General features: G+C 42.1%; 1 long non-coding RNA gene across 1 annotated transcript in view, besides 4 other annotated features; it reads right to left on the bottom strand.

Annotated features, from left to right (window-relative positions):
- Positions 1-27256, bottom strand: part of LOC105374618 (uncharacterized) — a 188354-nt gene that overhangs the window by 24888 nt on the left and 136210 nt on the right. The window contains exons 4-7 of the long non-coding RNA NR_171679.1: positions 26537-26830; positions 25528-25616; positions 25156-25355; positions 22847-22900 (exon numbers count right to left, since the gene is read on the bottom strand). This is a non-coding gene — a long non-coding RNA (uncharacterized LOC105374618). The remainder of the gene's footprint in view (positions 1-22846; positions 22901-25155; positions 25356-25527; positions 25617-26536; positions 26831-27256) is intronic.
- Positions 16323-16824: an enhancer, noted in NCBI's record as "H3K4me1 hESC enhancer chr5:2077789-2078290 (GRCh37/hg19 assembly coordinates)". NCBI's record gives its function as "activates a minimal SCP1, AML or CMV promoter by ChIP-STARR-seq in primed H9 embryonic stem cells {active_cell/tissue: H9 hESC(primed)}" and the evidence as "EXISTENCE:reporter gene assay evidence [ECO:0000049][PMID:30033119]".
- Positions 18475-18975: an enhancer, noted in NCBI's record as "H3K4me1 hESC enhancer chr5:2075638-2076138 (GRCh37/hg19 assembly coordinates)". NCBI's record gives its function as "activates a minimal SCP1, AML or CMV promoter by ChIP-STARR-seq in primed H9 embryonic stem cells {active_cell/tissue: H9 hESC(primed)}" and the evidence as "EXISTENCE:reporter gene assay evidence [ECO:0000049][PMID:30033119]".
- Positions 25629-26210: an enhancer, noted in NCBI's record as "H3K4me1 hESC enhancer chr5:2068403-2068984 (GRCh37/hg19 assembly coordinates)". NCBI's record gives its function as "activates a minimal SCP1, AML or CMV promoter by ChIP-STARR-seq in naive H9 embryonic stem cells {active_cell/tissue: H9 hESC(naive)}" and the evidence as "EXISTENCE:reporter gene assay evidence [ECO:0000049][PMID:30033119]".
- Positions 26211-26794: an enhancer, noted in NCBI's record as "H3K4me1 hESC enhancer chr5:2067819-2068402 (GRCh37/hg19 assembly coordinates)". NCBI's record gives its function as "activates a minimal SCP1, AML or CMV promoter by ChIP-STARR-seq in naive H9 embryonic stem cells {active_cell/tissue: H9 hESC(naive)}" and the evidence as "EXISTENCE:reporter gene assay evidence [ECO:0000049][PMID:30033119]".

Below are 27256 nucleotides of genomic sequence, written 5' to 3'. Positions count from 1 at the left end.
CCACACAGCAGTGGCCTGGACAGACAGCCCTCCGTGCAGGCGTGTGCCTGTGAGCACCTACACATGCGTGGGGCACACCGGCTCCGGCGTCACACACTCCTGGACGTCCACTCTTGGTGAATCCTCACACAGACCTTTCCTGCCGGGATTAGGGCTTCCTTTCGGTTTTGTGTATCATGTGACACCCTCTGTCACTTGTGAGTGGCTTCCCACCATCTGAAAAGGTGCAAACTCATGGCCCACATCAACGACGCCCCGTGCCAGGACGCTCTCCCATGTGAAAGCTGGCTGAAGTCCTCGGTCTGCCCACGTCAACGACACCCCGTGCCAGGACGCTCTCCCATTTGAAAGCTGGCTGAAGTCCTCAGTCTGCCCACGTCAAAGACACCCCGTGCCAGGACGCTCTCCCATGCGAAAGCTGGCGGAAGTCCTCGGTCTGCAAGGCCATGAAGGAAAATTCTAGTAACTAATTCCCACCAAGTCATCATTTAAGAATTGTTTTGAAGTTCTGCTGGAACACAGTGTGCATGGGTTTATATTACATTTTTGTTAGCTTTGTAAGTGGTGTATGAATCATGTTTGTTTTTATAAATGGTTGCTCTGGAGTTGACAATACACAGCATTAACTTATCAAGAATACCCAAGAATAACAAATAATATGGCATCACTTCCCATGTAATTTAATAATCTTACAACTGCCTGGTTCCATTTCCCACCTCCCAGCCCTTGTGCTATTGTTAGCAGACATTTTGCTTCTACTTATAAACCCCAAATGTATTATTATTACTGTTTAAAACAATGTTCAATAAAGAGATTTCAAAATACGGTAAAACACGCTTTGTATTTGCTGATGCATTTTACACCCACTCCTGTTCCTTTGTGTAGACCCTCATTTTTATTTCTTATCATTTCCCTCTGTCTGGAAACCAACTCTAAAATGTCCTTTAGTGCCTGGTGGTGCCGGCTGCTGACAGTGGCGTCTCTCTACTTTTGTATGTCTGAGACAGTCTTCACGTTGCTTCTATTTTTTAACAGCCTTATTGAGGCTGAATTTATATAAGAATTATACAATTGATATATACATTATACACATTTAAAATATAAAATTGGATAGATTTTTAAAGATGTAAAAACCCATAGAAAACACTGAATCTATCAAAATCAGGATATTATCCATCTCCTTGGGAATTTGCTTTGTGATAATGTTTTGAAATTGTTCCTTCTTACTCCTCCCCTCTCCCCCACCCTCCCTAGGCAATCACTGATTAACCTCTGTCTCTAGAGATTCATTTGCATTCTCTGTAATTTTATAAAATAAGATCATAATTATGTATTATTCTTTGTCTGGCTTTTTGGCTCAGCATAATTATTTTGAGATTTGTCCATGTTGTATGTCTCAACGGGTTTTTTTTAACCTTTATATCACTAAGTATTACTCCCCTGAATGGATGTATTAGTTTTTATCCATTCACTTGTTGATTAACATTTGGGTCATTTCTGGTTGTTAGCAATTACAGGTAAAGCTTCCATGGACATTTGTGTTCAAGTCTTTATAAACACACATGTTTTCATTTCTCCTGGGAAGTACATAGGGATGGAATTGCCATGTCAGATGGTAGTTATGTGTTTAACTTTTGAAAAAAAAACTATTTGCAGTATATTCATAACTGTGAATACACTTAATGTCACCGAACTATGCAATTAAAATAGGTTCGATGGTAAATTTTATGTTGTGTGATTTTTACTACAATTTTAAAAATAAAAATAAATAGATTTGAATGAAAAAAAATTAATGACAACACGTCGCCTCTCTTAGACTAGTCATTGTGCCATAATATCCATTATTTGCATCTATTACTAACGTAGTGAATACTTTTGAAGATCCATAAATGCTCTTAGATCAATAAATTCAGCTATTTCACTTTTTAATTACAGTATGATCAAGCATTTAGATCAATAGTAAAAAAGTCTTCCTTTGACTGATTGTCTCATGTATTAAATAGTAAAAACTGTCTTCATTTGACTGTTTCATGTATTAAAATATTATTACACATTATATATGATTTAAAAAGGAAATATACTATATCAGACCTTCAGGAAAATTTGACCTAGTTTACAGGAAACAAAAGATAATATAATTGAAAATTCAACAAAAGTACCCAATACAAGATTTTGACCAACAAGTATAGAGTATTATATTAAAAGATTCTTCACAATAGGCTGAGGTGGGCTTCGTGCCTCTGGTTTCTGCTGCGGTCTCATCTCAGTCTGCCAGGAACACTGGAAGCCATTTAACACCCGCTAAGATTTGCTTCTCCTTCTCCAGTCCTTTCTGATGTGATGTTATTCACACTTTTCTTTCAAGGACAGAATGCAGCTACTCACTTTAAAAACGTGCTTTGGAGCAGGAACATCTAGGGACACTGCTGCCTGATGGCCACTTAAGTGCTCAACCAAGCAGCTGTGTGTGGCTTGTGTGAAAGACTCAGAAGCAAGCTGCCAGGTGAGAAGGTCAGTGGGAAAAAGGAAAACTCATGTTAAATATGTGTGAAATGTGTGTAGAAAAGGCAGGCAGAACAAAGCTGCCTTAGAAATTCTATGAAGTCTAACACTTTGTCTAACACCCACATATTAAGTATTACACAGTAGTGTTTTGTCATTTATTGTATAATCCATACTTACTTACCTTTTGTTTGAAAATGTTTATATAATTTTGCAATAAACCCCTATACCATTAATAGGCTCAAAAAATAATATTAGGAGATTTTAAATAAAAATGGAAAATACAAAACTAAAAAAAATATAAAACTTTTCCAAAGCGGTTGTAACATTTAATATTTTAACCAGTGACATGTGAGCATTCCAGTTCCTATACAGCCTCACCAGCACCTGGCGTCATTAGTCTTTTTAATCTTAGCCATCTAATAACTGTGCAATCATGTCTCATTGAGGTTTTAACTTGCATTTCTCTAAGAGCTAACGGTATTGATCATCTTATCATGGACTTATTTTCCATTCACACATTTTCTATGGTGAAGTGTCCATTCAAACCAATAGATCATTTTTAATCACTGTCTCTTTTCATTTTATAGAGTTTTAACAGTTATCTAGCTAATCTGGTTAAAAGTCCTTTGCTGTATAAGAGAAGCAAATATTTTCTTCCAGCCAATGGCTTGTCTTTTCATTATACTAGCTGTGTTTTTCAAAGAGTAAGTGTTTTAATTTTTATGAAGTCATATTTATCATATTTGCTTTTATAGACCATGCCTTTCTTGTCATATTTAAGAAATCGTTGCCTAACTCAAGGTCACGAAGAATTTCTCCTAATTCCTTCCAAAAATGTTATGGTTTTAGCCTTTACATATAAGGCAATAATCTATTTCTGTGAGATGTATGGATCAAAGTATATTCTTTGCATGTGGCTATTTAATTGTTGTAGCGCCATTTCTTTAAAAGGCTGCCTTTTCTCTGCTAAAATGCCTTTGCATTCCTTTTAGAAATCAGTTATCTCTATAGGCTGTTGTCATTTTCTGGACTCTCTATTCCATTCCATTTATCTAGTTGTCTAGCTTGATGCCAATATCACACTTTCTTGATTATTGTAGTTTTAAGTCTTAAACTAGTGTTCATCCTTCAGCTTTATTCTCTGCTTTCAAAGTTGTTTCCACAATTAAAAGCCCTTTGCAATTTCAAATTAATTTTAGAATAAGTTCATCAATTTCTACAAAAATAAAAGCTTGCTAGTACTCATTGAGATAACATTGAATATGTAAATTTGGGAAGAAATTAAAACAATACTGAATTTTTAATCCCAAGAACATGATATATCTCTCCATTTGTTTAGATGTTCCTTAATTTCTCTTGGTGATGCTTTATGGATTTTAGTACACAGGACTTGCACATTTTGATCTGATGCTATTGTAAATAGTCATTTTTAATTTTAATTTAAAATAATTCATTGCAAGGATAAAAAAGATTGCTACTTGTATATTTACATTGTATTAAGCAGTCTGCTAAACTCATGAGTTTTTGTAACTTTTGTGTACATTCCATAAGTGTTCTTTTACAGATGATTACTATGTCATCTGAGAAGAAAAACAGTTTTACCTGTTCACTTACAATCTGGATGCCTTACATCTGTTTTTATTTCTTTTTGTGTCATTTGGGGTTTCATTGATTGATTGACTTTTTTTATTTACTACATTAGTTATAATGTCCAGTACAATGTCAAGTACAAGTGACAAATAAAACATCCTTGTCTTGGGAGAAAAGAATTTAATGTTTCACCATTAAAGATGTTAATTATATTTTTGCGTTTGGGGTTTTTTAATCCTCAATTTTTTTGTTAGATGCCCTTTATCATATTGAGGAAAAGTTCTCTTATTCATAGTTCTCTAAAACATTTTTTAAATTAGCAATTGAAATTGGTTTTGGTAAAAAAATGGTTTGGAATGTTGAGACAGTCATATTTTTTTTCCCTAGGGTGTCTATATAATAACTTGCATCTATTTTTTATGTTAGGCCAACCTTAAATTTCTGGAATAGGCACTACTTTGTTGGGCTATATTATTCTTTTTATATATTGCTGGATTCAATTTGCTAAAATTATATTTAGAATTTTTTGCATCTACATTCATGAGAATTTTAGGTCTGTTGTGTTCATTACTTACAATGTCTTTCTCCGGTTTTTGTGTCTGGGTAATGCTGACCTCACAGGACACATTGAAAAAAAACGTTCTTTCTGCTTCCGTTTTCTGAAAGAGCTTTTGTAGGGTTAGTATTATTTCCTGTTTAAATATTTAGTAGGATGTAACCTTATTTAAATTCATCTATTATTTTTTCTGTTTTCTATTACTTTGAATTCGTTCGTCTATAATCATTATTTCTTTTCTTCTACTTGCTGTTGGTTTAACTTCTTCTTCCTCTAGTTTTTTCTTTTCCATAGAGGTTGAGTTGATTGATTTGAGACTATGTTTTTATCCTACATTAGCATCTAATGCTATAAATAACCCTCTAACATTGCTTTTGCTTCATGCTACAAATTTTAACATGTTGTGTTTTTACTTCTAATTTACCTTTTGATTTGATTTTTTTGTGCCATTTTCTAAATATGAAGGGTTTTTTCAAGAGTCATTCCTACTGTAGATTTCTAACTTTTTTCCATTGTAGACAGAGAAGATACTTTGTATGACTTGAATCATTTTTAAATTATTGAGACTTGTTTTATGACCCAGAGCATGGTCCACCTTGGTAAATTATTTGTGTGCTTGAGAAGAATGTATACTCTCCTATTCTTAGGTAGAGTGCTCTATAAATGTAAATTAGGTTATTTAAATGACAGTATCTATCTTCTTTTACTATCAATCATATAGAGAGAGTCATTGAAACCTTAACTATTTTTGTGGTTTTGTCTATTGATTCTTATAGTTCTATTAGCTCTGCTTCATCTATTTTGAAGCATTGTTATTATATGTACATGTTTAATATTGTTTCATCCGTTGATAAATTGATGCTTCTATCTTTATGAAGTAGTAATGTCCTTGGTTCTGAAGTCTATCTGGTGTACTATAGCCACTATAGCATTGTTAAATTTTTAAACTGTTATTTTGCTATATCTCTTATATATGTTAAAGGTATAACTTTTAACTTTTAGCTCACTTGTGCCTTTATATTTAAAGTAGTTTCTTATAGAGAGGATCTATTTGGGTCTTTTTTTTTTTTTTTTTTTTTTTTTGAGATGGGGTCTTGCTCTGTTGACCCTGCTGGAGTAGAGTGACGTGATCTCAGCTTAGGCTTACTGCAACCTCCACCTTCTGGGCTCAAGCAATCCTCTCACCTCAGCCTCCCAAGTAGCTGACACTAGAGGTGTACACCACTAGTCTTAATTTTTTTATTTTTTGTTGAGATGGGTTTTTGCTGTGTTGCACAGGCTGGTCTCAAACTCCTGAGCTCAAGTGATCCACCTGCCTCAGCCTCCCAAAATGCTGGAATTACAGGCATGAGCCACCACGCCTGCCTGGTTCTTACTTTTCTTAATCCAATCATTGCATTAAGAAAAATAATTGAATTAAGAAAAATTTGACCAAGAAAACTGATTGGATTAATCCAATCATACAATGATTGCATTTTAATTAGAGTATTTAGACCACTTACATTTAATGTGATTATTAATATAATTAGGTTCAAATCCATCAGCTTGCTGTGAGGGAACTTCAAAATGTTAGTGAAAAAGTATAATTAAAAGATACAAGTAAAAATACAAATATGTTCATTTCTGAAAATGAACATTAAGTCTAAGACATTTTTATAAGTGATGACATCAGCTATTTAATTCATTTCGAAAGAACTGAGGGTTCTAGGAATTTAACCATGTCAATCTAGTCTTTCGAACATTGTTAACTGAAGACAAATAGGTGATCTTTAAATGTTTTTAAGATTAGGAAAGAAAAAAAAAGGAAAACTCTAAAGGAGGCAAATCAAAGCTGTAAAGCAAATACCTAATGATATTTACCATTAAAACCCTCACAAAATTGCCCTGGTTTTGAGGAAGGATAGGTAGTCAAGGAAATGACCATGTCCTCAGGATGCAGCAACTGTGGTGACCATTCAACACAATAAACCTCAGCATTCACGTTATTTAGCTCATTCAAACAAAGCAGTCTTCAGCAGGGAACTTCCTCTCTAGAAAGCATGCACACTTTGACTTTACCTGTCCTCAAATTGACCCTTGGCTCATTATAATAGTAAAGAATGGGCCCCTGGGTGGAGATTTAAGATGTTAATGAGGCATGTGACGTATGAACAAACATGGACAGCTACTGCACATGTGCACCCAGAGGACCACCCAGAACATGCTTGCTATTAACGCCTCTTCCCACCTCCTTAGGAATAATCACGTAAAACTCCCATAAAGGGAATCTCTCTAGTGCCAGTCTTTGCTGTCTCACCCTTATGAGCCACCCTCCCTGAATTCTCTCTCTCTCTCTCAGGGGGTACTGTCTATTCTGCACTTAACTTTCAAAATATTCCTTCTCCTTTGCAATAAATTACTCTATGTTGCACCTCCTTTGCTGTGTGTCTCTCGTTTAAATTCTTTTAAACTAAGAAGAACTGAGGTATTACAACAGCCATTAACAGTTTGTTGAGAAGAATGAGCAAGAGCATTGTTGTGGTGAAGAAAGACTGTCTGGTGAAATTGTCACAGGCGTTTTCCTGCTAAAGCTTTAGCTAACTTTCTCAAAACTCTCACAATAAACAGATGTCCATTCTTTGGCCCTCCAGAAAGTCAGAAAGCAAAATGCCTCAAGCATTCCAAAAAACTGTTGCCATGGCCTGTGCTCTTTTGACTGGTCCTCTTTTGACTGGACTGCTTCCTCCTCTTGGTGGCCATTGCTCTGATTGTGCTTTGTCTTCAGGATGGTACTGGTAAAGCCATGGCTCGTCTCCTATTCTAATTCTTCAAAGAAGTGCCTCAGCATCTTGATCTCACTTGTTTGAGATTTCCACTGAAAGTCCTGTTCTTGTCTGCAACTGATCTAGGCACAACGATTTTGGCACCCATTAAGTAGAAAGTTTGCTCACTTTAATTTTTTGGTCAGAATTGTGTAAACCAACCCAACTGAGATGGTGATAGTGTTGGCTATTATTTGTGTTGTTAATTGTTGGTCTCCTTCAGTTAAGGCACAAACAAGATAATATTTTTCCTCACAAATTAATGTGGATGGTCTGCCACTGCAGACTTCATCTTCAACATCACCTCATTTTTTCTTAAGATGAATTAATTCATTTGTAAGCTGCTGATTTCTTTGAGGCTTTTTCTCCATAATTTTTTTGTAAAGCAGCAATGATTTCACCATTCTCCCATCCAAACTTCACCATAAATTTGATGTTTGCTCTTGGTTCAAGAACAGAACTTTAGCAGAAATCATGTTGCTCTGATAGGGGTTCTTTTCAAACTGATCTCTTACCCTTCTTAGTGCCTCAGACTAGATCCTGTTCAGACATGTGACGACAAGTTAGCACAAGGTTATTTTGGTGCAAAAAAAAATTGAAATCCATGCATAGTTCTTTTATAGTACATATTTTTCATGAACTTTTTAGAGACTCTCTTCATTTTAATTTTTCCTCTATTTCATTTGTTTTGTGTTCTCTTTTGCCTTTTTTGGATTAATTGTTTATTGATTCATTTTTTCCTCCTTGGTTTTCTTGTTATTTATTGCTTTTAATATTTTGTTGCTATTGTTGTTTTGGTCATTAGAATTTGTAGTATAGAGTTTACCTTATTCAGTCTACCCTGAAGTGATGTTATGCCACTTAATGTATAATATACAAATCTTATGATAATATCCTTTCACTTCTCACCTTCTAAACTTTGTTCAATTGTTTTCATACATTTTACTCATATATATAAGAGTAATAAACCCATACTTGTCGTTATTTTGGCTTACATAGCCAATCATTCTTCTAAAAGATTTAAATAATAGGAAAAGAGCTTACATACTTATCCATATAGTTACCATTCCCAGCACACTTCATCCCATTCATGTTGCCATCCAGTATCACTTTCTACTGTCTGAAGAATTACCTTAACATTTTTTGCATTTTAAGTCTGATGGTGGTGAATATTTTCAACTTTTGTATGTCTGAAATTGTATTCCATCTTTGGGTTTTTGTTTGTCTGGTTGGCTTTTTGTTGATTTTGGGTAGAGATGAAGTCTCTCTATGTTGCTCGTGCTGGTCTCGAACTACTGAGCTCAAGTGACCCCCTACCTTGGCCTTCCAAGGGTCTGGGATTACAGGCGTGAGCCACCGTGCGCAGCCTCACCTTTGTTTTTGAAAGATATAATTGTTTGATATAGAATTCTAGATTGATTTATTCTTTTTCCAGAACTTCAAATATGTTGTTTCACTATCTTCTCGCTTGCATTGTTTCCAATGAGAAACTTGCAGTCATCCTTATCTTGATTTCTTTCTACAAAATGTATATTTTTGTTGTTATTGGCTGCTTTTAAAATTTTCTCTTTATCACTACTATTGAGCATTTTGATTTTGATGTGCCTTGTAGTTCTCATGTTTCTTGTGATTGGTGTCTGTTGATCTTCTTAGAACTGTATGTTTATAATTTTCTTTACAAATGGAAATTTTGGTGGATAATTTCTTAAATACTTTTTCTGGCCCCAGTTCCTTTCTTCTTCATGAATTTCAATTACATGTATATTTGGCTACTTGAATTTGTTCCAGAATTCACAGGTGCTCTGTTCACTATTGTCTTTTTAATTGACTTTGTTTTAATTCATCTAGCTTAAATTACTATCTTCAAACTCACTAATCTTTTCTTCTGAAATGTCTAGTCTGTTGTTGATCCCATCTCCATATATTTTTCATCTTAGAAATTGTATCTTTCAAGTCTGGAAGATTTATGTGGGTCTTTCTTTATATCATCTATATTTCTACTTGACTTTTTGAACAAAAGGAATCCAGTTATAACTGCTTGATATCCTCATCTGCTAATTCTAACTCTGAGTCTGTTCTGTGTTGGTTTCAAATAATTAACCCTTCTCCTGAGTTATATTTTTCTGCTTCTTTGCATGCCTGGTCATTTTTTTATTAGATGTCAGATACTGTGAGTTTTAGCTTGTTGGATGCTGAATATTTCTGTATTGCTGCTATAAATACTCCTGGACATTGTTCTGAGACCACATTAAATTTATTTAAACGTTGTATCCTTTTGGGTCTTCTTTTGAGATTTGTTAGGCAGGATTGGAGCAGTGCTTAGTCTATTTCCTGCTACAGGTGTGAGTACACCACACTGAGGACCCTACTCAGTGTCCTGTGAAGAAGGTTTTTCTCTCTGGCTCAGGGAACAGGCACTGTGCGAACTCTAAGAATCGTTCCTCCACCCTCTGGGTGGTTCTTTCCCCAGCCTTCACTCGTGTTCTTACACATTCATTCATCATTATCACCTTCCTACTCAGCGGTGATTCGGTATCTCCTGGATGTTTCCTCTCTTCTCTCTCCCTCTCTCTCTCTTTATGTGTGTACCTCATCTCTGCTACTCTGTCCTCCTATTTCTAGTTGCTAAACCCTCATCTTCACCTCTGCCAGGGTACCCCTCCCTGCACCGCACTGTGGGAATGCCCTCCAAGGAGCCGCTCAAGCCCCTACAGGGCTCACCACCTTTGTCTCCCATCTGTCAGCATCCATGGTCTTCATTGCTTGATGTTTGTTGAAACTTCTATTTTATATGTTTTGTCTGCTTTGTTTTTTTCTAAAGTGTAAGAAAAAGTCTATCTAGTCCATGTTATTTCTGTTTGTCAGGAAGTTAAAATCTCCTTCATTTTTAAAAAAACAAATATTTTCTCTGAGGACAAATTCAGACAGAAAACATTATGAAGATAGTGTAGAGAATTCTAATATACCTCACACAGGCTTCTCATATTAGTAACATCTTAGTTTGGTATGGCACATTTGTTATAACTAATAAAACAATATTGATGAATATTATCATTAACGAAAGTCCACACTTTACTTAGATTTCCTTGGTTTTTACCTCACCTCTTTCAGCTGTTTCAGGCTCCTATTCAGGATATCATATTACATTTACTTATTATGTCTCCTTGGGCTTCTCTTGGCTGTGAAAATTTCCCTAACTCTACTTGTTTTTGATGACCTTGATGGTTTTGGGGAGCACTGGTCAGGCATTTTATTTTGTTTTCATAATTAAACTGGGTTATGTGTTTTTGAAGGGACGTCCACAGAGGTAAGTTGCCATTTCCATCACGCCATCTCCAGCATCCATACTCTCCTGGTGACTTGTCACTGTTCAAGTTGACCTCCCTCACCTGGCTGAGGTGGTGCTTGTCAGGATTCTCTGTTATAAAATTCATCTTATTTATTTATTTATTTATTTATTTATTTATTTATTATTATTATTATTATTATTATTTTTGAGACAGAGTCTCCCTCTGTTGCCCAGGCTGGAGTGCAGTGGCAAGATCTCAGCTCACTGCGATTCTCCTGCCTCAGCCTCCCAAGTAGCTAGGACTACAGACGTGAGCCACTACACCCGGCTAGTTTTTCGTATTTTTAATGGAGATGAGGTTTCACCGTGTTAGCCAGGATGGTCTCAAGCTCCTGACCTCATGATCTGCCCACCTCGGCCTCCTAAAGTGCTGGGATTACAGGCGTGAGCCACAGCGCCCAGCCAAAATTCATCTTTTTTTCCCCTTTTCATGCCATAGTCTTTGGAAGGAGGTCACTATGCGCAGCTCACATGGAAGGATGCAGGAGTTACACTTCACCTCCATGAAGGGAAAGTAGCTATGTTAGTTATTTGAATTCTGAAAGGGAGGTTTGCCTCTTTTCCCCTATTTACTTATTGATCCAGTCATTTACTGATATCAGTATGGACTGAGAATGTGGAGATGAGAGTTTCACAAGCTAGAAATTGGAGGATAGAGTAGCAGAGGTGAGGTACACACACACAGAGAACGAGAGAGAGTAGAGAGGAAACGCTGGATACGTTGAGAGTTGCCCTTGAGTAGGAAGAAGAATCAGGATCAGTGGATGTGCAAGGATGCGAGTGATGACTGCTCCTTTGGGTTACAATCGAATTTGTTTCCTTGCTCTCAGAATGAACACCCTGTTCTTCATTTTGCTCTTTAGTCTTCAGGAGCCCTTGCAGCTGGTTCCTGTATCCTTCTGACATAAAACCATCATTGTGGGTGGTCTTCAGGAGCTCTTACAGTTGGTTCCTGTGTCCTTTTGACACACAACCATCATTGTGGGTGGTCTTTGGGAGCTCTTGCAGTTGGTTCCTGTGTCCTTTCAACATACCACCATCATTGTGGGTGGTCTTCGGGAGCTCTTGCAGTTGGTTCCTGTGTCCTTCTGACATACCACCATCATTGTGGGTGGTTTTTGGGAGCTCTTGCAGTTGGTTCCTGTGTTCTTCTGACATACAACCATCATTGTGGGTGGTCTTTGGGAGCTCTTGCAGTTGGTTCCTGTGTCCTTCTGACATACAACCATCATTGTGGGTGGTCTTCGGGAGCTCTTGCAGTTGGTTCCTGTGTTCTTTTGACATACAACCATCATTGTGGGTGGTCTTCGGGAGCTCTTACAGTTGGTTCCTGTGTCCTTCTGACATACTATCATCATTGTGGGTGGTTTTCGGGAGCTCTTGCAGTTGGTTCCTGTGTCCTTTTGACACACAACCATCATTGTGGGTGGTCTTTGGGAGCTCTTGCAGTTGGTTCCTGTGTCCTTCTGACATACCACCATCATTGTGGGTGGTTTTTGGGAGCTCTTGCAGTTGGTTCCTGTGTCCTTCTGACATACAACCATCATTGTGGGTGGTCTTTGGGAGCTCTTGCAGTTGGTTCCTGTGTCCTTCTGACATACAACCATCATTGTGGGTGGTCTTCGGGAGCTCTTGCAGTTGGTTCCTGTGTTCTTTTGACATACAACCATCATTGTGGGTGGTCTTCGGGAGCTCTTACAGTTGGTTCCTGTGTCCTTCTGACATACTACCATCATTGTGGGTGGTTTTCGGGAGCTCTTGCAGTTGGTTCCCGTGTCCTTCTGACTTACAACCATCATTGTGGGTGGTTTTTGGTTTGTTTGTTTTGAGCACTTTTTTACTTTCTGGCATTAGAAGATGCTCCAGGCTCATCCTGTATATTTTGTGCCCCAGCTCTCCAATCAGCCATTTCTCTAAGAAGCCCTGGTTCCTTTTACTGGAGAATGGTGTTATAAATAAAGATCCGGGCTTAGGCATGTTCCTTGCCACTGGGTTACCATTGCTCCAGGCCCCTCTCACCTGACAGAGAAGGGAAATATTCATGCAGATACTAACCCATTTATAGTCCCATAACTGTAAATATCGCTATACATAACCATATTTATGCCAATCTAAACATGAGTTTATACTGATGTCTATAACTCTAACAGATGCCACATGGTCATCTATTCCAGCCTATTCCTCCCTTGCCTATTCGTAAACTCCCACTCCAACAGTAAGAAACCTGGCTCTGATCATCTGCCATCCATTTGCTGGATTGTTAAATTCTTGCATACATGGGTAGCAGCATCAGAATTGTTGACTTGTAACCCTCTTGGAGCAAACTTTATCAACTAGAGGACAGTGCTTATGTACAGTTTATTTTGCATTTAGCCTTATAGACATGACTCATTTCCAAAGTTACTTAGGTCAGCCTTTTTTTTCTCCCTAACAGTTTTGTGATGTTGTTTTACACATCTGCAATGTATCACCTTCATTTTTGACATAAACTTTGCTTTAAAATTCTAAGCTGACAATTTATTTTTCTTTCAAAACTGGAAAGAACTGTCCCACTGTCTTCTGGCTTGTGTGTTTTGTGGCTGTCATTTTTACCATGGATTTTCTGTACATAATGCATCTCTTTCATCTGGCTGCTTTAAAAATGAACTCTTCGTCACTTGTTCAGCAATCTGGTTATAATGTGACTAAGTGTAGTTTATTTTGTTTGATGTTTACTGAGCTTCTGTCATCTGTGGGTTTATATTTTCTCCTATTTGGAAAATTTGCAGCCATAATTTTTAAGTGTTTTGTGATCCTCCCACAATCTTACAATCTTGCATGCATTTTAAGCTATGAAATATTTTCCCACAGTTCACTGAGGCTCCTTTCATCCTTTCCCAGTAAAAATACTTTCTCCTGCTGTTTTAAAGTTCACTAACCTTTCCTTCTGCTAAGAATACTTGTTACGACTCTGCCATTAGCCCCGTTCTATGTATTTTATTTCAGGTATTGTAATTTTTATTTCTAGATGGTATACTTGAAACTTCTTTTGTAACTTACGTATCTCACTTAATAAGGTGACATATATGTTATATGTTTTCCTCTAGCTTCTGGAACTAGTTTCCTCATGTTTTCCCCTGATTTTGCAAACATTGGTGGCATATTTATTATTGTTATTTTAAGGTCCTTTATGTCCATCATCTCTGTCATTTCTCAGTCTGTTTCTATTTACTGATTTATCTCTTAGTTACAGCTATTTTAATATATTTTTCTGTTCTTTCACATATTTAGCATTTTGTAATTAAACTCCAGGCATGGGACTTTTACATTGTTAGTGTTTGATTTTCTAAAATTATTTTAATTACATTTTTTAATGGTTTAGGTTTAGAGTTCCTTTTTTTTTTCCTCTTAGGTGGAGGTATCTAGCATCAGTTTTATTCTTTGAGCTTTGCTTTAATGCTTTCTTAGGGTTGGTCTAGAAGAGCCATTAGCATAAGGCTAATTTTTCCCCCTTGCTGGGGGAACACCCTTCTAAGGGCTCTATCCAATGTCCCTTTCATTAAGAGAACTTTCCAGTGGCTTTCAGGAACACAAACTTTTGCTGGTCCTGTGTAAATTTTAGGAATTTTTCTGAACGAGTGCTTTTGGTGATGGTTTTTCTCCAGCCTCATTCTCCAGAGTGTAATTGTTTCCTCACACTCACATGCAGGTCAGACCTCAGCCAAAGACTCCAGGAGGCCCCTCAGCAGTTCTCAGGGTGCCATCTGTCCCTGTGCGGGTCCTCCTCTTAGGTTTCTGTCACACAGATTACAGCTGCCTCACTCAGCATCCCAGAACCCTGGATTTATCACCCTTGTGTTAGCATTTTATAATTAATAACTCAGAAAAAAATGCTTATGATTTAAAGTTCCTGACAATTAATTTACTTCTCATCTTCAGTGGGCTTTTTACAATGGACTTTTGTTTCAGTTGAATTAATCGGGTTGGAGTTTAAAAAATGCAAATAAATTAGCAGCTTAACTGTATAATTTTTGTATCAATTACAAGGATAGAAGCTGATGGACCATGTATTAGTTCTCACACTGCTATAAAGAGACTGGGTAATTTATAAACAAAAGAGTTTTAATTGACCCACAGTTCCACATGGATTGGGAGGCCTTGGGAAACTTAGAATCATGACAGAAGGCAAAGGGGGGAAGAAGCCATCTTCTTTTTTTTTTTTTTTTTTTTTTTTTTTTGAGACGGAGTCTAGCTCTGTTGCCCAGGCTGGAGTGCAAAGGTACAGTCTTGGCTCACTGCAACCTCTGTCTCCTGGGTTCAAGAGATTCTCCTGCCTCAGCCTCCCAACTAGTTGGGACTACAGGCGTGCACCACCGTGCCTGGCTAATTATTTATATTTTGAGTAGAAACGAGGTTTCACCATGTTGGCCAGGCTGGTCTCGAACTCCTGACCTCAGGTGATCCATCTGCCTTGGCCTCCCAAAGTGCTGAGATTACAAGTGTGAGCCACCACGCCCAGCACCTTCTTCACAAGGCGACAGGAGAAAGAGAGACAGAGAAGGGGCAAGTGCCACTTTTAAAACCATCAGATCTCCTGAGAACTCCCCCATTATCACAAGGACAGCATGAAGGAAACCACCCCCATGATCCAATCAGGTCCCACTAGGCTCTTCCTTGACACATTGTGGGGATTACAATTCAAGATGAGATTTGAGTGGAGACACAGAACCAAACTATATCAAACCATAATCTCTAAGCCTTAAAAATTGCCAAAAACTGAAGAGTTTTCATCTCATCCCTCAGCTTGGTAGCAGATTGAAATATATAACAAATAGATATTTTTAATACTTCTGGTTTTAATTAACATTGTTTTCAGGGAAAGAAACAGAAAAAAAAATCATCATCTTTAAAACAATGTTGTTATCGACAATCTATGAATACATGATGTGGACAAAGGCTTGCTCGTCCATTGGCTACAAATCAGATCCTGCTGTGACAGGTCTTTGCCTTCCTGATGCAGCAAAGCCTGCAGAATTCTTCCAGCTCCAGCGGCTGAAGATGAAAAGACTGACTCAGCCACTCCCAAAACACTGACATGGCAGTCATAATTTTCTTTGCCTATTATGATTTGTAGTCAAGGCTATATAAAAACCAGCCAATATGAACTTTATTCAGTCACATTCAGAGGACTGTTGCAATGTTATTCAGATTTTTCAATGCATTTATCCTATCTAGTGGCCATAAAATGCCATTGAACCCTGAATTCAGCAGATCTTACTGAAACACACTCAGTTCTGATGTTGGTCACTTCCGTTATCTATTCCTGCATCAACAACCACCCCAGAACTTTGAACTTGGATCAAAGCAAAGCACGTTTCTCCCATATGATTCAGGGAGTTGTCTGGGCCACTCTTCTGCTGGCCTCTCTCAGGCTGCCTCACATGGTCAGGTAGGACGACATTAGTCAGGCTCCGGGGGTGGCCGGACCCTGGAGGCAGCCTAGGCCCTGCACGGCAGCCCAGGGCACTCTCAGAGGTCAAGGTCCAGAGTGCAGGGCCCAGCCAGCCTCTCCCTGTGTTCTGTTCACTGATGACCCTCTATCCAAAGTGAGGCACCTGCCAAACCCAGATTCCGAGAGAGAGGATCAGGAGGGCCTGGATCCTGGAGGTGTGGTTCGCTGGGGACCACTGATGCAACAACCACAGTCTCGTCCTGGCCTGGTGTGAGACACAGGGAGATCCCCCTGGCCCCCAAATTTCATCAATCACAGCATCGGGCTGGCAGCCCATGATACTGTGATCTGCATCCTATCTGAATGGAAGGGGCATCCTCAGTGCAGCTCCTTCTGACCCAGACAAACTAAAAGCACAAATTCTGTCCCCATCTCCTACATACCAGGAAGACAGGGGCAGACCCAGTGTAGGGGACCCAGCCAGAGCTTTGACCTTCGCTGACCCTGCCCATCAGCTTAGTGAGCAATTGCTCACTAGCGTAGTTTCAACGTTAGGGAACATATTTTTAATAGAAAAAAGGTATATATTGCTTTTTTTAAGAAGTAAAGTGTATCTTATTGCAGATTAAATAATCCTTTATCTTTGTAAAGTATTCACTAAAAATCTACTAGAACTAATAGATAAGTTCAATGAGGCCACAAGATACAAGAACAGCATATAAAACTTAATTGTAGTTTTATATACTAGCAACGAGCAATCTAAAAATTAAGTTAAAAATTATATTAATAATAGAATTAAAGGAAAGAAACAGAGATAAATTTTACAATAGAAGTCCAAGTCTTTTACACTGAAATATCTGTTTACATGTATTTTATTTTTATTTTTTTAACTTTTATTTTAGGCTAAGGGGTGCATGTGCAGGTTTGTTATATAGGTAAATTGTGTGTCTCAGGGGTTAAGTGTGCAGATTATTTCATCATCCAGGTAATCAGCATAGTACCCAATACATAGTTAGTTTTTCCACCCTCAACCTCTTCTCTCTCTCTACCCTCCAGGAGGCCCCAGTGTCTGTTCTTCCCTCTTTGCATAAATGTGTACTTCCTTTCTAGCTCCCACATATAATTGATAACGTGGTATTTGATCTTCTGTTCCTCTGTTAGTTCACTGAGCATGATGGCCTCCAGTTCCATCCATGTTGCTGCAAAGGACATGATTGCATTCTTTTTTATGGCTGCGTAGTATTCCGTGGTGTATAGGTACCACATTTTCTTTATCCAGTCTACCACTGATGGGCATTTAGGTTGATTCCATGTCTTTGCTGTTGTGAATAGTGCTGCAGTGAACTTATGCCTGCATGTGCCCTTATGGTAGAAGGATTTATATTCTGTTGGGTATAAACCCAATAATAAGATTGCTGGGTTAAATGGTAATACTGTTCTAAGTTCTTTTGGAATTTGCCTAACTGCTTTCCACAATGAGTTAAAGAGCAATACATATTGCTTTTTAAACACTTACAAATCCACAAATTAGTATTCATATAAAAATTAGTCATATTTCTCTGAAAAACTAGGAGGATGATGTTCTAAAATAAGTAAGGCACTCTAAGTCGTTTCAACCTGATGAGAACAGTGCACTCTTAAAGGTAAATGTAAGAGTTTTAGTCCTAAAATGCAAGTCAATGCAAGAGTTTCAGTCCTAAAACTCTGATGGTTTCAGGACTAAGAGGAATCGTTTGGCAAATCGTCTTCCTGTTTTCGATAGCCACTCAGCAGCAGGTTGTTGAAATGTACCTTGCAGAGAGTTAACTTAGGTTTAGGGTATTGATCAACAAATATTATGTGTGACTACATATTATTACATGTAGTATGGTTTCATAAATTTATGATTAAGTATAAATTGTGGAAATTCATAAATTGCAAAGTTATTATAATAAAATTGCCTGAACTAGGGAGACCTGGAGCTGCCTGAACTGGGGCAGTGAATACTCACTCTGCAGGCTGACCCCAAAGGAAATAGCCCGGCAGCTCGGCAGGACCGCCCAGGTGCTGCTGTCCCTCATTCAAGTGCCTGGGACAGTGCTCTGGGCTGTCCATGAACAGCAGCAGGATGAGGAGGCCATGAACATGCATGGAAAAGGGGCTCCTGTCCATCCATCTGGGGCCTGGCAGGGCTCATGACAGCACGATGATTAATCTTTCCAGAAGCCAGAGGGGCTCAGGATTTGTTGGACAAAGTCCTTACTCTAAACACTGGCTAATGGGGCAGAAAACTGTAGTGCATGTGTGAGGCTGTTTGGAGAGAAAAGTCAGAACCCCAGACCCCATGCTGTGGTGGATCCGATCTGAACACTGACAGGCAAAGGGACCAGGCTGCCAGGCCACCTCCTCCCAGGCCAGGGTCCCTGGGACCAGGAGGGGGCGAGAGCTCCCTTGGTCACAAACACACCAAGCTGCCATGCCGACGCCTACCACCCCAGGCAGCTAGGAAGAGAGGAGCTTGGTGATCTTTACAGAAGGTCCTGCAGCAGTCGGCACTGCTGAGAGCTGAGTGGAGGCAAGGCCAGCAAGCTGTGCTGCCCCTGTGAGCGGACCCTGCCCTCAGAGATCTCACCAAGGATGGCTGCTGGGATCACATGGTGGGTGGGTGGGAGGGTGTCTAGGGAAGAAGGGGTCTCCTCCCCACCCCCACAGCCTTGGACCTGCCAGAAGAATGTGCCTGGAGTCCCATCAGCACAGCCGCCCCGTCCCCTCCACCCTGCTCCACAGCTGCTGTCCTCCAGCTCTCCCCAGCCTGGGGCCAGCGCAGGAGCAAGAGCCCATGGCTTCCTGCTTGGTGGCAGCAGGTGCCCACTGCTCTAATAAAAGTCGTAAGAAAGCGTCTAACATCACCATAAATAAGAGATGTTTGTGGCTACATTTCTCGCAGAAAACCTCAGCCCAGCTCTGGTGAGAAGTTTCTCTTGGCTTAGCCCTCAAGGCCTCACAAGGGCAGAATCAGGAAGATAGCCCTAATCCCAGCTCTGCCTTCCGCCAGCCTAGGCCTTGTCCACTGGCTTCCCTGCACTCGCAGCCTTTTCCCAAACAGAAGGCCACGGTGGCTTGGGAGGGCTCTTTCCCTCACACCCATTTATCCCCCATAGGACTCAACGTGCATTTCTTTGCTGAAGAGCATGACCAAAATGAAATTCATTCAAACTTGGGTTCACTGACAGCCAAGAAGATAATGTGGACTCCTGTGGAGCCCAGCTTATCAGACAGATGCTTAGGAACAGCATGCATTCAAGGACCTCCAAGGAATTGCTTAAAAAGTCAGAACAAACTCCAGATGCAGTGCCAATGCCTGCCCAGGCCACCCCTCACCCATGGCACAGATGTCTGTGCCACCTTTGCACATGCAGACATTGCCACGGCATCCCTGGGTGAGCGCCCCGTCTTCTTGTCTATTTTGTGAGCAGAGTTGCATCTTTACGATGCAAGCCTCACTTGGATAAATGAAGAAAGTTCGACCCAGCATGGAAGGCCCGGGAAGAGCATCTCAGGGTAGTTTTTGAACCCTTCATTACCAATGAACAAATGTAGCTTTATGGAAGGCCCTAAGTGTGTTTAATGGTGGGTCCCATGACCCCAACAAAGGAGCACAACCAAGACTCCCAGAAAGCAGCCCAAGCCCTCTGCAAAGCTCCTCACAGAGCCTGGGGTCCATTCCTCAGCAGCACTCAGAGAAGCCACTGTTTGTAAAAGGGTTTCACACGGAGCCCAACAGGGAAGCTTAGGGAAATGAGGGCAGGCTGGGGCCTCGCAGGGAATGCAGGTCCTGTGGACTCAGTGTCAGCAATGAAGTTCTCTGCTGGCGAGGAGAGCAGGGGCTTCTGGCTCTGGTCGTTCATTTCTATTCAAGCTCCTCCTGCACCGTCCATGGAAAACACTCATCATCCAAAGTCTCTGAGCACCCATGGTGTGTCAGCCTTATGTCAAGAGCTGTATTTCTATTGTTTAATCCTCACAGTAATCCTATGGAGCAGGTAGCATCACTATCCCAGTTTTACAGTTGGGACAGTAGGGACAGTGTGTTAGTCCATCTTGCATTGCTATAAAGAAGTACCTGCGGCTGGGTAATTTATAAAGAAAATAGGTTTAATTGGCTCACGGTTCCGCATGACACCTGCTCTGCTCAGCTTCTGGGGAGGCCTCCAGGAGCTTTCACTCATGGAGAAGGGGAGCCAGTGTGTCACATGGTGAGAAAGGGAGCATGAGAGAGAGGGAAGGTCGCAGACTCTAACAACCAGATCTCACATGAACTCACTACTGTGAGGACGGCACCAAGCCGTTCTTGAGGGATTCACTCCATGACCCAATCACCTCCCAGCAGGCCCCATCCCCAACACTGGATATCACATTTCAACAGGAGATTTGGAGGGACAACACATCCAAACCATATCATTACATCTCTGGTCCCCCAAATCTCATATCCTTCTCACGTTGCAAAATATGATTCCCCTTTCCCAACAGTCCCCAGAAGTCTTAACTCATTCAGCATCAACTCAATCCAAGTCCAGATCCTCATCTGAGACTCCAGGCAAGTTCATCCCTGACCTATGAGCTGTAAGATCCAAAACAAGTTACTTACTTCCCAGATACAGTGGTGGCATAGGTATTGGGTAAACATTCCCATTCCAAGAAGGAGAAATTGGCCAAAAGAAAGGAGCAACAGGCCCCATACAAGTCTGAAACCCAGCAGGGCAGACATTAAACCTCAAAGCTCCAAAACAGTCATTGACTGCATGTCTCACATCCAGAGCACACTGGTGCAACTGGTGGGCCTCCAAGGCCTTGGGCATCCCCACCCTGACAGCTTTGCTTGACACAGCCCATGAGGCTGCTGTTATGGGTTGGAGTCTGGTGCCTGTAGCTTTCCCAGGCTGAGCTTGCCACCTGCCAGTGGCTCTGCCATTCTGGAATCCGGAGGGCGGTGGTCCTGTTCCCACAGCTCCACTAGGCAGTTCCCTGGTGGGGACTCTATGTGGGGGTTGCCACTCCACATATCCCCTCTGTAGTGCCCTAGCAGAGCGTTTCTGTGGGGGCTCCACCCCTGCAGCACCCAGGCATTCTCATGCATCCTCTGAAATCTAGGCAGAGGCTCCCAAGCCTCAACTCTTTCACTCTATGTACCTGGCAGGCTTAACACCGTGTGGAAGCTGTCGACACTTATGGCTTACACTCTCCAGAGTGGCAGCCCAAGCTATACCTGGGGACCTTTGAGCCACAGCTAGAAGAAAAGCAGTGAGGATATGGGGAACATCTGCCTAAGGTGGCAAAGGGCAGTGGTGGTCCAGGCCGGGCCCCCAAAACCATGCTTTCCTCCCAAACCTCTGAACCTGTGATGGGGGGGGCTGTCCCAAAGCTTTCGAGACCTTTTTCCTGTTGTCTTGAATATTAGCACTTGGCTCCCTTTTCGTTATGAAAATCTCTCTAGAAAGTAGTTTCTCTGCAGCCCCCTGCATTTCTCTCCTGAAAAAGTGTTTTTCTTCTCTACCACCTGGCCAGGCTGCAAGTTTTTCAAACCTTTGTGCTTTGCTTCCTTTTTAATTGTACGTTCCAACTTAGGGACATTCCTTTGTTCCCACATCTGATTCAGATTACTACAAGCAGCCAGGCCACATATTGAAAGCTTTTCTGCTTAGAAATTTCCTCCACCACATACCCTAGGTCATCAGTCTTAAGCTCAACCTTCCACAGATTCCTAGGGCAGGGACATAAGGCAGCCGAGCTCTCTGCTAGATCATAACATGCACGAGTTTTGTTCCAGTTCTCAATAACGTCCTCATATCCATCTGAGGCTTCATCAGCCTGGCCTTCATGGTCCATTTTTCTATCAGCATTTTGGTCACAACCACCTTATCAGTCTCTAAAAAGTTCTAAACTTTCCCTCATCTTCCTGTCTTCTTTTGAGCTCTCCAAACTCTTCCAACGTCTGCCTGTCACCCAGTTCCATAGCCACTTCCACATCTTCAGGTATCTTTATAGCAATGCCCCACTCCTCAGTACCAATTTTCTGTGTTAGTCCATTTTTGCATTGCTATAAAGAAATACCTGAGGCTGGGTAATTTATGAAGAAAAAAGGTTTATTTGGTTCACAGTTCTGCAGGCTGTACAAGCATGGCACCAACATCTACTCAGCTTCTGGGGAGGCCTCCAGGAGCTTTGACTCATTGCCAAAGGTGAAGGAAGAGCAGACACAACACATGGCAAGAAAGCGAGCAAGACAGAGGGAGAGACACATGATGAGAAAGGGAGTAAGAGAGAGGGGAAGGGTCCCAGTCTCTTTACCAACCAGATTTAACGTGAACTCACTATTGTGAGGAGGGCACCAAGTCATCATGAGGGATCTACCCCCATGACCCAAACTCTCACCAGCACCCATTTCCAGCATTGGGGATCACATTTCAGCATGAGATTTGGAGGGAACAAACATTTAAGCCATATCAGAGAGGGTAAGAAACTTACCCAAGGTCACACAGCTAAGAAATGTCAAAGAGTGTGTATTAGTCTGTTTTCACGCTGCTGATAAAGATATACCCAAGACTGGGAAAAGAAAGAGGTTTAATTGGACTTACCGTTCCACATGGCTGGGCAGGCCTCAGAATCATGGCGGGAGGTGAAAGGCACATCTTACGTGGTGGTGGCAAGAGAAAATGAGGAAGAAGCAAAAGTGGAAACCGCTGATAAACCCATCAGATCTCATGAGACTCATTCACTATTATAGGAATAGCACAGGAAAGATGCCCCCATGATTCAATTACCTCCCCCTGGGACCCTCCCACAACATATGGGAATTCTGGGAGATACAATTCAAGTTGGTATTTGGGTGGGGACACAGCCAAACCATATCATTCCACCCCTGGCCCCTCCAAATCTCATGTCCTCAACATTTGAAAACCAACCATGCCTTCCCAAAAAGTCTTAACTCATTTCAGCATTAACCCAGAAGTCCACAGTCCAAAGTCTCATCTGAGACAAAACATGTCCTTTCCACCTATGAGCCTGTAAAATCAAAAGCAGGCTAGTTACTTCCTAGATACAATGGGGGTACAGGTATTTTGTAAATACAGCTGTTCCAAATGGGAAAAATTGGCCAAAACAAAGGGGCTACAGGCCCCATGCAAGTCAGAAATCCAGTGGGGCAGTAAAATTTTAAAGCTCCAAAATGATCTCCTTTGACTCCAGGTCTCACATCCAGGTCTCGCTGATGCAAGAGGTGGATTCCCATGGTCATGGGCAGCTCCACCCTGTGGCTTTGCAGGGTACACCCTCCCTCCTGGCTGCTTTCATGAGCTGGCATTGAGTGTCTGTGGCTTTTCCAGGTGCACGGTGCAAACCGACGGTGGATCTACCATTCTGAGGTCTGGAGGACAGTGGCCCTCTTCTCACAGCTCCACTAGGCAGTGCCCCAGTAGGGACTCTGTGTGGGGGCTCCCTCCCCACATTTCCCTTCTGCATTGCCCTAGCAGAGGTTCTACAAGGGAGTCCCACCCCTGCAAAACATGTTTGCTTGGGCATCCAGGCATGTCCATACGTCTTCTGAAATCTAGGCAGAGGTTCCCAAACCTAAATTCCTGGCCTCCGTGCACCTGCAGGCTCAACACCAGGTGGAAATTGTCAAGGCTCGGGGCTTCCACCCTCTGAAGCCACAGCCTGAGCCATACCTTGGCCCCTTTTAGCCATGACTGGAGCAGCTGGGTCACAGGGCACCAAGTCCCTAGGCTGCACACAGCACAGGGGCCCTGGGCCCGGCCCATGAAACCACTTTTTTCTCCAGGGCCTCCAGGCCTGTGATGGGAGGGGCTGCTGTGAAGATCTCTGACATGGCCTGGAGACATTTTCCCATGGTCTTGGGGATTAACATTAGGCTCCCTGCTACCTCTGCAAATTTCTGTAGCCATCTTGAATTTCTCCCCAGACAATGGGTTTTTCTTTTCTATCTCATAGTCAAATTTTCCAAACTTTGATGCTCTGCTTCCCTGATAAAACTGAATGCCTTTAACAATACCCAAGTCACCTCTTGAATGCTTTCCTGCTTAGAAATTTCTTCCATCAGATACCCTAAATCATCCCTCTCAAGTTCAAAGTTCCACAAATCTCTAGGGCAGGGGCAAAATGCTGCCAGTCTCTCTGCTAAAACATAACAAGAGTCACGTTTGCTCCAGTTCCCAACAAGTTCCTCATCTCCATCTGAGACCACCTCAGCCTGGACCTTCTTGTCCATATCGCTATCAGCATTTGGGGGAAAGCCATTCAACAAGTCTCTAGGAAGTTTCAAACTTCCCCACATTTTCCTGTCTTCTTCTGAGCCCTCCAAACTCTTCCAACCTCTGCCTGTTACCCAGTTCCAAAGTCGCTTCCACATTTTCAGGTATCTTACCAGCAGTGCCCACTCTAGTGGCACCAATTTACTGTATTCGTCTGTTTTCATGCTGCTGATAAAGACATACCTGAGACTGGGAAGAAAGAGGTTTAATTGGACTTACAGTTCCACATGGCTGGGGAGGCCTCAGAATCATGGCGGGAGGCGAAAGGCACTTCTTACGGTGGCAGCAAGAGAAAATGAGGAAGAATCAAAAGTGGAAACCCCTAATAAACCCATGAGAGCTGGTGAGACTTATTCACTATCACGAGAATAGCATGGGAAAGACCCACCCCATGATTCAATTACCTCCACCTGGATCCCTCCTACAACTCGTGGGAATTCTGAGAGATACAATTCAAGTTGAGATTTGGGTGGGAACACAGCCAAACCATATCAGAGTGAGTGTCAGCTGGAAGGCCTGGACCCAGAGTTTCTACTTTTGACCGGGATCTTTCCACTGCCTTTGCTGAAATTGGGAAGCAGCATCCCTCTGTCTATTTCTGGAGGAAAAGTTTGTACCTGGACTGCAATAGGACATGCTCAGAGAGTCCATGAAATAGTCTAGCCGGCTGTCCCTTCAGCATCCTCTGGTGTCTGGTGATGGCCAAGCTTATTGTCCTCAAAGCAGTAGCAGCGACCCAAGCCAGAGTAAATCAACCAGCTGAGCCCACAGCTCCCTCCTAGGGCCCTCTGGACGTGGGTCTCATGGCCTCTGTGATCTGGAAAGCCCAGAGAAAAGCAGCGTTATCTTAGACAGGGAACTGTTATGAGAGCGAGGAGGGGGCCCTGCACCCCTGCAGCAGGGGGAAAGCCCGAAGCAGGGGCCAAGCCCGAAGCAGGGGACGGGTATGAGGTTATAAAGTGGGCTTATAGTAGGCTTTTTTCCCCCACCTGATTTCACTTCAATTAGCCACAGGTGTCAATTCATCCTCTTTCTCTCGATGCTTCCCTTTGACCTTCTGCTCCTGTCATTTTCTTCTCTTTTTGTTCACCGAGAGGAGAAAATGAAATGAGACAGGACGTGGGCCTCCTGCACAGCTGGGTGTCGTTGTGGGGATCTCTGTGAGTTTCCTCTTCCAGGGCGTAAGAGGCCGGCTTTCCCCCCGCAGGCCGGTGCTGGCTTTGGTACCCCCGCGTTTCTAGGATGTCGGAGGCTCCTCCCACGTTTCCTCCCACCCTCCACTGACTCACGGGTTCCTCCCTCACTGCTCCTGAGGGAGAGCTGTTCAGTCTCTTTCCAGAACTGGCCTTAGCCCAGCAGGGTGGTCCCAGCTGCACCCCATCTTCAGTCCCTTCTCCAGCTTCCTCACACCTGCTATGTGGCTGCCATAACACGTACCGCACACTCGGTGGCATAAGACAACGGAGACTTATTCTCTCACAGTTCTGGAGGCCATAACCCCCAAATCAGTACCCCTGCGCTGAATTCAGGGTCTCTGCAGGGCTGGGCATGGGGAGACCCCATGTCTCTGTCTTTCCTTCTTCCGGTGGTACCTGGACCCCTGGGCTGGCAGCCCCTTCCGTCATCTCTGGCTCTGTGGCCACATCACCTTCCCCTCTCTGCTGTCCTCCCTCCCTCTCAGAAGGACCCTGTGATTTCATTGGCCCGCCAGGATCATCCAAGAAAATCACCCATCTCAGGAGCCTCAGCCCTATCACATCCGCAAAGCCCCCTTTCCATACAAGGCGGTGGTTGCATGTTCTGGGGGTCAGGATGTGGCCATCCAGAGTCCTAACTCGACCCCCCACAGCCTCCGTGTTTCATGTTTCATGGATTCTCTCGCTGCAAATCTTTAACTAGGTCTTAGTATATTGCTCAGACCCTATGGCCTCCACACAGCCTTCCCCAGCAACCCAGCAGGGTGATCTGCCTCCCCACCCCTGGGCTGTCACCACTCACCACAGGGTCTGATCCACAGGCAGACGGCTTTCGATCAAAGGATCTGGCCACACAGGCTCCAGGTCAGGCAGCAGTGGCAAATATTTGCGGAATTAAAAATGCGTAATTGAATCCGCAAATACAGCCTCAATGAGACCCACAAAGTCCCCTGATCTGCAAGTGTCCCGGGCAGGGGCGGCTGACGGTAAAAGGAAGCGCTGGCCAACCAAAGCGTTTGTAGAAAGATGAGTCCTGGAGTCACAGGCTCTGTGACTTTGGGCAGCCTGAAGTGGGAGGTGAGAGCCTCCAGGGCTTCTGAGGATTAAAATATGAATACCGTCAGAAACTGCTTAACATGACTTCTGGGAGGGCCCGCTGAGGGAAGAGTGAACACTCACCTGGTGAGATGGCTTTGATGACCTAGGCTCACAAGCTTTTAGATAATCAGCATTTTTAGGCAGCCTGTTTCATACACAGATTGTCTATTGTCTGCCTGTCTATATCTACGTATTGTAAGCTGATCTATTATTATGGCACAGCAGCTGTCACTTGGACACAGGACTCGGAGCCAAAAAACACCCATCCTAATCCAAATTCCACTCAGACTCTTTCTGAATATTTCTTTCTATCCCCTGAGCTCATGTGTGTTTTTGATTCATGGCAAATTGTAAAGTCTTGACATAAACAAACAAAGAAACAAAACACGCAGGTCGGAAATCTGGAATCGTTTCTGAGACTGTA

The sequence above is a fragment of the Homo sapiens genome, chromosome 5 (assembly GCF_000001405.40).
Source record: "Homo sapiens chromosome 5, GRCh38.p14 Primary Assembly".
NCBI classification, from domain to species: domain Eukaryota; kingdom Metazoa; phylum Chordata; class Mammalia; order Primates; family Hominidae; genus Homo; species Homo sapiens.
The sequence above is the reverse complement of the archived record's forward strand: the minus strand, read 5'-3'. Positions and strand labels throughout refer to the sequence as shown.